This window comes from Homo sapiens, chromosome 6 (assembly GCF_000001405.40).
Source record: "Homo sapiens chromosome 6, GRCh38.p14 Primary Assembly".
In the NCBI taxonomy this organism is placed as follows: Eukaryota; Metazoa; Chordata; class Mammalia; order Primates; family Hominidae; genus Homo; species Homo sapiens.
The window spans coordinates 129,238,353-129,250,586 of NC_000006.12; the positions used below are offsets into that span (position 1 = coordinate 129,238,353).

At 36.2% G+C, this 12,234-nt stretch overlaps 1 protein-coding gene across 2 annotated transcripts in view, besides 1 other annotated feature; it reads left to right on the forward strand.

The window, feature by feature from the left end:
* LAMA2 (laminin subunit alpha 2) overlaps positions 1-12,234 on the forward strand; it is a 633,429-nt gene that overhangs the window by 355,215 nt on the left and 265,980 nt on the right. For both annotated transcript variants that reach the window (NM_000426.4, NM_001079823.2), the window contains exon 13: positions 11,760-11,861. In NM_000426.4, the coding sequence (NP_000417.3) occupies positions 11,760-11,861 (102 nt within the window). The remainder of the gene's footprint in view (positions 1-11,759; positions 11,862-12,234) is intronic.
* Positions 1,621-1,830: a silencer, noted in NCBI's record as "fragment chr6:129561118-129561327 (GRCh37/hg19 assembly coordinates)". NCBI's record gives its function as "represses an EF-1alpha promoter that drives an FKBP-Casp9 reporter gene in an ReSE screen in K562 erythroleukemia cells {active_cell/tissue: K562}" and the evidence as "EXISTENCE:reporter gene assay evidence [ECO:0000049][PMID:32094911]".

The window sequence follows — 12,234 nt, forward strand, 5'->3', positions numbered from 1 at the left end:
CCTCTTATGAATTTCTTTTTAAAACCCTTCAAAGTAGGTATTTTCATGCCCTTTTAGACATAACATAACGTATAATTCAGAGTTGAATTAATTTTCCCAAAATCACACAGCAAATATATAGACTACAATTAGAAAGTGGGTAAGTCTCATTCTTAAACATATACTTTTGCATTATAGTCACATGAAACCACTGAGCGTGTTCATGTGTGTGTGTGTGTGTGTGTGAGAGAGAGAGAGAGAGAGAGAGAGAGAAAGCCCAAGAGTGAGAGTTTGTCTTGAGGAGAAGTGTTTAAAAGGAATATATAAATCAAGGATGCACTATAGTATCACCAAAGTAACAGTGTGAACTTGAACAATTTAACCTCTTAGAGCCACGATTGCTCCATCTATACAATAGAATAATAATAATAAACCTACATTATACAATTTCCGGAGATTAAATGAGGATAAAGAGTACTTTTGAAATTCTAAAGTTCCATGAAAATGTTAGCTTTGATTACATATGGTTCAGCAATTGGGTCTCCTTATTTTTTGAGATCTACCTTTTTTTTTTGTATTATCTGTAGCTTGCTAAAATAACATACCAGATGTTTTTGTTTTCAAATTTTAAAAATCCAGATCATACTGATTTGTTGCCATGGTATAGTAGTCAGAGAATCTTGCTCTGGGCAGTTACAATATTTTGGAGATTGTTTTACATAATAGCAACAATAACAGGAACAATGATAACTGCTAACTTGTTTACATTTACAAAATGTCAAATACTATTCTAGATTATTCAATTGAATCATCACAACAACGCTATGAGGTAGTTACTGTTATATTGTTTTGATTTCCCTGATGGAGACTTGACACAAAGAGAGACTAAGTAATTCACTCCTGTCACACACAGCTAAAAAGTGGCAGAGCTGAGTGTTTTGCCCCAGGTAGTCCAGTTCTAGAACTGTACTCTTTTCCACTATGCTATACCATCTTCCTAATACTATCTGTACAAGAAATTTTCTCCTAATGAAATGTATTGCTGTACCCTATATAAGCTTTAGCTCTAAAATTGCAGAGCAGGAAGCAGGTGGATAAAGCTAATTGCTATTCTATTACCCTACAATAGAAATTTCAGTGGACTAACTCTAATATTTAAATAACCCACTGTTAATAAACTGGCATGGTGCAATTGCATGTTTCCCAGTGAGATCAGATCTAGTCCAATGTCTCAGCAGATATAGGAATTCCTTTTCTATCACCCCAGACAGGTGGATCTCTACTCATGTATCTTCAGAGAAATGGATACCCTACAAAGCAGCACATTCCATTTTCAACAGCTCTAGATATTATTTTATTTATTTATTTTAGATGAAGTTCTGCTGTGTTGTCCAAGCTGGTCTCAAACCCCTGGGCTCAAGCAATCCTCCTGCCTCAGCCTCCCAAGTAGCTGGAATTATAGTTGTGTGCCACTGCATCTAGCTCCAGATTTTAGAAGTTAATTCTTACACAGGGTTTTCTGGAGGGACAGAACTAATAGGATTGATGTATATATGAAGGGGAGTTTGTTAGGAGAATTGGCTCACATGATCACAAGGTGAAGTCCCACAATAGGCCATCTGCAAGCTGAGTAGCAAGAAAGCCAGTTCGATTCCCAGAACCTCAAAATTAGGGAAGCCAGCGGTGCAGCCTTCAGTCTGTGGCCGAAGGCCCGAGAGCCCGTGGCAAATTACTGGTGTAAGTGCAAGGGTCCAAAAGCTGAAAAACTTGGAATCTGATGTTCAAGGGCAGGAAGCATCCGGCATAGGAGAAAGATGAAGACTAGAAGACTGCGCAATTCTAGACCTTCCACGTTCTCCTGCCTGCTTTATCCTAGCCACGCTGGCAGCTGATTAAATGGTGCCTACCCAGAATGAGGGTGGTTCTGTCTTTCCCAGCCCTCTGACTCAAATGTTAATCTCCTTTGGCAACACCCTCACAGACACACTCAGGTACAATACTTTGCATACTTCAGTCAAGTAGACAGTCAATATTAATCACCACATTCTCCAACGCTTTCTCATACAGGTTCTATTTCTCCACTATGAACAGTGAGATTTTTTTTCTGGTATACTTGATAGGCCTTCAAATGTTCCAAGAAAACAATCATGCTTTTCCTAAGTCTTCTCTTTTTAAATACTCCCATTACCTTTCCAAACCTTTTGTTCAGCTGTTGGGACCATCAACATCCTGGTCACACCTCTATGGATGAAGTCTAATTTGTCAACTACTCTCTTAAATGGTGGTGTCATGAATTGATCACAGTGCTCTGGATGTGCTCTGACTAGCTATGACTGCTCCTGGATCGCCGTTTCCTTTAATCTATACACTATGTGTCTTCCTAATACAGAGAGTATGTTGTTTGCCTATATATCATAACAAATTGAAAATGCATTTATAACTTATAAAGTATATATTACTAGGTGCTAGAATTTACACTATTATCCTAATATACAGAAGCTGGGAAAAGTAATGCCATAGAGTTGATTTATGTGTGTAAATGTCTAAGTGACTTAAATATTGATTTTTCTCCTTCAACTGCAGATCAAACTTCCCAAACACTAAAGCTTCCTTATTTTAAAACAAATGCATTTGTGGTTCACCAGTCTGCAGTACAGTAAGCTTTTTATAGGTAAGCTCAAATCACAGAAAAGCTCAAATAGATACATCTCCTTTAGCCTATTTTTAGGACTGATAAAGCTAAGAACAGAGAAACCAATAAAGACATATTTTAATGATGGCAGGGTATCTCATGGGGTAGTACAAATTTATCCCAGTTTTTTATGCCTTCTCTATGTGTAATACATTGAAGTGATATATGGTGTTGAATGTGATTAAAATTCAGCAGATACTTATGCAAGATCTACTATCTATAAGATGCTTATGCAAAATTCCATAGGGAAACATTAAGACGTGAATAAAATCTGAATTGGGCCATCACTATGATCTCTCCCCAAAACGTGGGATTTTCAAGTGCATTTAGAATTATGAAATAAACCACTAGGTTTTTAGTGTGAAATGTTTACAGTATTTTAATTTTGAAAACTATACTTATTAAAACAGTATGACAACATTTATTGAATACATGTTATGTGCTAGGTACCAAGTGGGGAGTTTTATGTTTATTTTCTCATTTCATCCTAAGAGCAAACTTCGGAGGTAGGTGTGATTCGTCTCATTTTAGTGAAAATTCACTGATGCTCTGAAAGCAAAATTAACTTTCCCAAGGGCCTTGTAGTGCTTAAAGGCAGAATCAAAATCCACAACCAGCTCTGGAAAATCTCCAGAAATGAGCTTAATTTTTTGTGTGATTTATATATGACTCCAATATTAACAGACATGTCAAACAACTAACACAACCCTTTACCTGTTTATTTTGGAAGAAGACACTTAAAATGTATTTTATTACCCTGTTGATTCTCCTCTGGAGTGTGACTTAGTATCCATTGCACCTTTGGGATTCTTATCTTCTAAAATTCACAACCACTTTCTACTGCTGTAAGAAAGAATCACCTGCAGAGTTCACGAATGAGGGAAGAGTGAAAAGGGAATAGTGGCAGATCAATACCACTTGGCATCACATCAAAATAGTATTCCAAGGTTGGTGTTCTGGCTTCTGCTTTTCTGGGAAATACGTTGTCTGCTATTTCAAAATGCCCTCCATCTGAATAATGTAACCTGAAATTCATTCAACTCATATTTAGCACTTTAGGCCATATCCAGGGTTGTGGAAGGTGTACGTAAGCAATGAGGATTGCCTACAAGGCAAGATGAGAACTCTGTTTTCTATACTTTCTATTGTTCCTCCCTTTGCAACAGAAGTAGAAAGGGCCATACCATAGCCATCTACTGTCCAACATGATGAATATCCTTAAAGACAAAATCTTTAAGCAGTAAGTGAAAGGTTAACTACAATTCTCATTTAAAAAGAAAATTGCATTGCTGATATCTCTTTGTTACATAAATTTTCCACAAGGATTATACATTTTCTTTTTATTCATTTGTTATCTATTTGACAATAGCAAGCCTGTTTCTCTTTAGCTTAAAGGAACTTGGATTAAAATTTTTTCTGTTATTTTAATCAGCATTGATGTTGTATATTATGAGCGTGTGGCTTTTTGTTTTCTTGGCAGAGACCTTGAAAAAATTTTGAACCCTAGTCAATAAGAAATCTCTGTATTAATATAAAACTATAACTTATGGTTTATTTGATTAGATCAATGTTTAATTATGGATAACATGTATTTTTTGCACTGAATATTTACACACAAATTAATCTAGCCCATAGTAAAAGTGCTAATGGAATGTTTCATCCAAACATAAGTTAGTAAATGGAAAACAAACAGCTGTTGCAAAGACCCTGTTTTTGGGTCTGGGCCTAACAGCACGAAGCACTTCAGAGAATTTCACCACTACCATTTACTCACATCTGTTGAGATTGTACTATTTCAACTCAAGATTTGATCAGTGTATGTCATAAAGTAACAAGTAGTACGCTAAGTCAGAAAACTTAAAGGAAACATTAAATACTCATTTCCTATATGGAATGTTGCCTTTCTAAGCACATCATCTTCTTCTATGTGATGTTTTGCAAATCTATTCATAGGAGATTTATATTTTCAAGTGTGCTCAAATGGATCTGTGTTGGGGAAAGATACGTGAAATAAGAAAATAAAAGCTAATCCATTTGTTTTAAAATTTTGTCTGCCTACCACATTTTGTTGGACTTCTTGTTATATGAGAACTCCTAATTGTCTGGTTTTCAATTGCAGCCAAAAGCATTCTTACCTGATCAAACTCTTCAAATTCTATTTACTTTGAATTATAGCTGAGTACATGGAAAGTATAATTGGGCCTTACTTTGTTACACAGCAGACAAAACATATGCTCAAGATAGGTCAGTGCTATTCCAGTGAATAAACATTTTAACAAAAATTTGTATGAGAAATTCATGTTGGCCTCTCATTCCTCTCTATATGCCTTTCACAGTTACTCTTTTTCCCCTTGCCAATCAAAACACTATAATGAATATCTCTTGGCCTTAACGATAAGAAACACTGTATATAAATATTGTCTAGGCTGTATTTTATGAGAATGTGGAGTTATATGAAATGTAGGAAGAAAAAATATGAGTGAGTAATCCTGTGAGCAGTGGACGGGCTGAGCTTCTAGGACACTGATAAGCAATCAGTGTTAGTTACACTTGAGGCAGTATCTCTGGTGGTCTGTTCCAGAACTATGTCCTTGACTCTGTCACATTCATACTTTTCATCACTACTTTTTATACTTCTGCAATTTAGGTCACCCAATACAGGTTATCTTATCAGGTTAAACTGATTGTAGTGGTCACATTGAAAAAGAAAAAAAAAATCCCAAATTCAGGACTTTTCCCAACCAGTTCTAATTAATGCACGTGTGAAAGGACATAGTTATTGTGAAAAGAAATGCTATCAAAACAGTCTAATGGCTACAAGAAGAAAAAGAAAAGAAGAAGAAGAAGGAGGAGGAAGAGGAGAAGGAGATGAAGAAGAAAGCTAAGGAGAAGATGGGTAACAGGAAAAAAAGAGGGCAGGAAAAGCAGATAGGAAGGAAAAAAAAGGTGGAAGAGAGAAATGAATGCAGGCAGGCAGGATGTTTTCCTCGAGGTTTTTTATTTATATCCCCTGGACTGCATAACTCAGTTTATTCCCTTCTAAACCAACTTTTCTAGAATGTGTTGTCTCTGTTCGACACCTACAACTCTGGTTCATTTTCTATGCATTAAGGATGATGTAACTTTAAAACCTCTCATGTAAATTCTGCCTGTTTTCTAATTCTACAATCCTCTTGTTTATGTTCTATTCTAATAATTATCGAGCTTTTAAAGAAGAGAAATCTGTTCTTAACTCAAATTTATACATACACTGAAGGAAATAACAAAACCTTGAAGTAAAACACTGTTTCTATGATAAAAGAGAGCTCTACAAATAGATGCATGAATAAACACTTCTATGGGAGGGATACCTTTTCAGAGTTTAAGGCTCGCGGGCTTTGGGATCTAAGAAGATGAATCGCTTGCCCTGTTTGTGATCCTAAATGGAAATTGACAGATATGTTTAATTTATCCTGCTCAGTATTATAAAGCCTTTTTCTCATTTGATTTTTGTGTATCCCTCCTGAAATATTTGCTCTGGTAAGCAAAAGCAAATATTAGGTTTTACACTCCATTTAGTGAAATAACAGTGATGATAATCTGACATCAGAGAACCAAATGTTCCAGGCTTATTTCATGAAAAGGATTTCCTCTCCAGAAACATTATCCTCAATAGGTTATCCCATCCTTCATTCCTCAATTCATATTTCTTGAGATTGAGAGGGAAAAAAAAAGAGGCCAGACCACAAGTAGCCTACTGCTAAATTCTTTTATGAAGCTTAGTTTTATGAATTACCTTTTAGCCTTCTCCAGTCATGTGGGAAAACTTTCCTGCCTCATTAAATCTTTAATGCAATGTGCACCATGCACACTGTATTGTTATTTGTGACATTAGGTTATATATTGCATAGTAACTATAATATTACTTGCAAACAAGCTGGTTTTTCCCCCTGAAGGTAGAATTAAAACAGGTACTCATGGGAAACAGCTACTTGTGTTCTTCTTTTCTTAATGGGGTGAAGCTGAAGAACAGGAAAGTGAATGGCTTAGCCTAGAACCATCTCCAGGAATGGAGGTAAATTTTTTCCTGCAGTGCCTTCTCAATTTGATATCTGAATCTCCCTGAAGAGAATTTGCCTTAGTAGATATGGAGAAAGAGGGAAAAGGCCAAGCCTTTGGAGACCCTTATGAAATGGAATGAACCGCTCTCACTAAATTCACTTTCTCTTTGTATTGAAAAGAGATATAATTTTCATCCCTAGTAAATATAGTCGAATCCATCCAGTAATATAAGAATTGCCTCAAAGTGAACTAAAATTGCACTTACTCCTACCTGTGGAAAACCATATTTCTCTAGCCAAGAGAACAATGACAGATTAGTTCCTAAATAGCAGGAGAAAATGAAATGTTCTATTGGCTGAACACACAGTGCTCTGTAAAATCAGAGAAATCAATATTGTCCCCAAAATGAACTAATTTGAAAGTCTCAAAGATGTTCAATTTTATGAAAGACTCGTAAAATTAATAAATGAGTCTGCAAAGTCCAAAAATGTGGAAAATTACAGTTATTTGCAGTACGTATAACTTACCAAGACCACTTATATTTTGTTAGAATTTTTCAATGAATGTTAATGGATGAATTTTTTTATATAGAGTTCTCCCTGTTTGGAATCTTTTAGTTCCCTTATTTACTGTGGTTGCCACTGACTCTGCATCAGGCTTTGGAAATATCACTAAAAAACTGTTTTTTCTTTAGTCTTCTTACTAGTCAAATATCAGCTAAACAAACAAAGAAAATAAGTGTTTGAATGGTCAGAGAACTATAAGAATGAGAATTCTGGCAGGAAAATTCATTTTTAAAAATCCAAGTAACAGAATGGATAAATATAAAAAGAGGCTAGATCAGACATACCCAGACATTCTCAGTTCAGAATGTTCATAGCGTATTCATAATTTTTTCATAGTGCCTCCTTGACCAACAGAAATAAGCCACAGTTCTATTTCTTAAGTAGTTAGTGCCAAACAACTTAATAAATATTCATGTTTTAACAACCTAGCAATTGTTTAAAAAGAAAATGGACAGAAAATAATAATTTTTTTCATAAATAACCAGAATCACTTACTGATGGGATGTGGTACCTTTGGGGTAGTATATACCTTCTCAAACTTGAGTATCAGATTGGATAATGCTATCCTTATTTCCTTTTCCACATTGACTTTTGTGCAGTTCTTGCTTTTAATTACAGTCTCTTCTGAAAACCTTTCTTAATAAAGATATAAAGTGGCCTAAAGTACAAGTAAGCAGAAACATGGCTCAAAATGTTGAGAACATTCTTAAGTGGAATATAGCATGTTCTAAGGTTTCAACTTGTGAACCACCTTGAATTAGTTATTGCAGTGCCCAACAGATATTTAGTATTGCTGTGTGTCCTTCAAATGTTTACAATATTCCACTGTGCCTTTGTGAGTTCACTGCAGCACCCTGGGGCACCTCTACACACAGTTTGTGAACACAGGGGTAGATAGATCCTAGAGGCATTGAAACTACACGGAAACTTGAATGACGTTAGGGATCCCAGAGCCACTGGGGAATCTTCATTAGGGAAGTGCAACAACATATGAAATAGCTCATTAAACTTTCCCTATCAAAAAAACTGAAGTCAGAGAGATGAATTCAGATGCTTGATGAGAACCTACTTGGTAATGGATTTGAAGGAGAGAGTAAACGTTAGGATACTGAAGGGATTCTAAGAGAGTGCAGAAGCGAGGGCAAGGAGGCACAAAACGAAGGCGGCACCTGGAACATGGAGGAGTGGACAGATGGAGAAGAGGCAGAGAATTCTTTATCTAAAGCAAGAGGAAAGGGCAACGTATACTCAGAATATTCTCAAAGCTTTTTCCCTGAATAATAGCATCCTTCAGAAAAGAAGTCTTGTAACTGACTCATTGCAAAGTCTCTTACACAATGGTATGTACTCTTTGGGGAAGACACAACTGGAAACAACACCAGGAAAAGCTTGATTTTACAGCTTATGGAAAGATTGTGGAGTTGAAGGAAAAATAGAAGGAAAGAAATTTTAAAAAGAATAAGTTAATATTCCTAGGGGTGCATCCTCTAAATTGCAGAGTGATATCTTAAGCAATCCTTTTAAGAATTACTTAAGAGCCTGAGCGTGGTGGCTCACACCTGTAATCCCAGCACTTTGGGAGACGGAGGTGAGTAGATTGCTTGAGGTTAGGAGTTCAAGACCAGCCTGGCCAACATGGCGAAATCCCATCTCTACAAAAAATACAAAAAATTATGCAGTCATGATGGCACACACCTGTAGTCCCAGATACTCGGGAGGCTGAGGCACAAGAACTGCTTAAGCCTGGGAGGAGGAGGTTGCAGTGAGCTAAGATGGTGCCACTCCACATCAGCCTGAATGACAGAGCAAGACTCTAGGTCAAAAAATAAAGAAAGACAGAATTACTTAAGTAAGTACTTGACTAACTGGTTATATAAATGTGATCATAAACGCATACCTTTAGGGTAAATGAAAAAGACATTGATTCTAATATTGTGTAAATGGGTAACTGTGGCTTGGGAAAAAAACATCTAGTAACAGTATCCTGAAAATTGTTTAAATGGTCCGTGTTTCACACAACTTAAATGGAAGTAAAACAGCTTCGCTCATGACAATTTTCAGGCAATTCAAAATACGTTGTAATAATGGCAAACATGAGTATCAGAGATACACAAAAGAGTTTAGAAAAAAATCATTTTATGAAATATGAGCTAAAACAATGTTTTACTATTATCGCTATTATTATTAGCCCTCAGCAGAATAGGGTAAATTATTTCTATTCCTTAGTTCATGTTTTATATTATCGCTGACCTGCATGAGGAGCCCCTATTTTTCTGCGTATTTATTTGTTCCTCTTTTCCCCCTTCCCACCTCTAATTCCTCTCTCATAGTATTTTAGTTTATGTCAGGGATCCCCAACTCCCGGGCTATACAGGTCTGTGGCCTGTTAAGAATTGGGCGGCACAACAGGAGGTAAGCATCAGGCAAGTGAGCATCACTGCCTGAGCTCTACCGCCTGTCAGATCAGCGGTGGTATTAGATTCTCACAGGAGCAGGAACCTTATTGTGAACTGCGCATGCGAGGGATCTAGGCTGCACGCTCCTTATGAGAATCTAATGCCCGATGATCTGATGTGGAACAGTTTTATCCCAAAACCCCTCCTCTGTGTCCATGGAAAAATTGTCTTCCACGAAACCCATGCCTGATGCCAAAAAGGTGGGGAGTGCTGCAAGTTTCCATTATATGTGACTTTATTATAAATAGGTATGAAAAACACATTAGCAAATCAAGTATCATAGGTGATCTTTTTCTACTTCATCTATAGTCGTAACAGCTTTGACATTCAAATTATACACACTTTGACTCTTTTTATTGACAAAATGGAAAATTATCCTTAATTCAAAATGTATTTTATTTGAGCATATGTGGTGATTTCATATATTAAGTTGATATTTTTCTTTCCTTTTTAGAGAAGCCATATTCAAGAAAAATAGCATGTAATTCAAATTTTAAATAATCAAAATAGATTTGAAAGCTCAAAATTTTGGAACATTATAGGCCTATGTCCCAATATTCTTCCCAAACCTCCTTTCAAACGTATTTATTAATTTAGAAAATTCTAAATAGTTCAGTCCTTGTTTGAAATATATACAACATAAAACTTTTTTTTCTCCTGCCTTTCTAGAATCCTTTTATTGAGAAAATGTGTAGCTGATCTGAAGAAGCATGCTGTGTGAAATTTTGAATGTTTATCTTAATAGAACCTAAAATCTTCCACATAGGTTCACCCCTCATTACTCACAATAATGCCAAGTGCTGTAGTCCAGGCAGATATTTATTATTTTATATGTGAAAAGACATTCGAATAAGGCCATTTCTCAGTGGATTAGGGGAATCAGAGTTTTCTGAATTTAAGTTCCTTATAGAGCCCCATGTAATGAGCTCTTAGAAGACATTGCAGAGCTGCAATTTAAAATCCTGTTTAATCAGCCGTAGCGAGCTATGTGCCATTCTCTGTGGAACACTAAGAGGAATCAGGGTTCTTCCTCCTCCATCCAGTACATTCCCAACCAGGAATTGCTGTCTGGTCAGGGTTGGACGTGAAAGGCCATAGAGAGCCAACCCTGCGAAGCCAAGTCTCTGCATGTCAGCACAGAGCAAGCAGCAGAATACAGATCATCAGCTTTGTTTTATGAATATCTCTATTTACAGTGCTGGAGTGGAATTTTAAAAAAAGGATTGCAGCATTTGCATTGAATCTGTCACTCACAGCTTCAATTTTGATTCCTGTCCTATAAATGATCTTGCTTTCCTATTTTTTTCTGAATTTCTACAAGGTGACTGTCAATGTCAGAAAATGTAAACCTCAAGTGTACATTGCATGGGGCTTGGCATGTATATTAGAAAGAAAGAAGTTTGCTTAATGAAAAGAGGATAATATTTATTCAAACTAAGCCTATTTAATTGCACAGAGGAAAGTATACCTTCTTTGCCTGTTTTGTTTGAATTTTAATATAAAATAAAATTTGCTGCTAACCTTTTGTTTTTCTTTGACCAATAACATTTCTCAGCTTAGTGTATGGGCTATGTAAAGTGCCTGTCAAATGGAGGGATGTCTTTGTTGAAAGAATCCAGACTCACAGAAAGTGAGTGACTTTCTGGTCAGATGGTTAGAACTCTCCCAATTTTGACAAAGATCGTTCTCTGTTTGGGATTTGTAAAGCTCAAACTGTAGACTAAGATGATGACAGGAGGATCTGCTGTTTGGCTTCATGGAACTTAACCTATTTCAGCAAGCCTGCAATACTGGGGAAAATAATACATATATTTATGTTTATGTCAGGCTTGCAGTTGATGGGTAAGGTTCATAAAAGGTTACTCCTAAATAAATGCCTATCATTCCCACTCCGTACTCCAGTGATTTCTGCGTCTTGCAAATACTGCCCTATAGAACAATAAAATTCGTATACAACAGTAAGTAAAATATGATTTAATAGCCCATCTCCTATCCCGTAATGATTATGCATCTTCTGTCTTGTAGCTCCCAGCAGTAGGAGGACAGTTGACATTTACCATATCATATGACCTTGAAGAAGAGGAAGAAGATACAGAACGTGTTCTCCAGCTTATGATTATCTTAGAGGTAGAGTACTGAGAGCATGTTCACCCGTGTTACTTCCTGATGTTACTTAAGGTTACCAGTACTGTATTTTTTACCTGCCTGGTTTGACACTGACTTACAGGACTACTAAAAAAAAATATACCTTAGGAGATTTTTGTGCCACTCTTTTGTTTCACTCTGAGACATATCTAGAAGATTGAGTATATTTGTTGGGTTTGAATGATAAAGGAGAACTTTAGACCAGACTTGAAATTAAATTTCAAACATAAGGACCATATTTCCAAAATTTAAATATTATGAAAGTGTTTAGGTACATGCTAATTTACATGGTTGTGTTTTTCCTGTTTTCTCTTGCTTCCAGATAGATTTTATTGTCTACTCCCTTGTTTATATT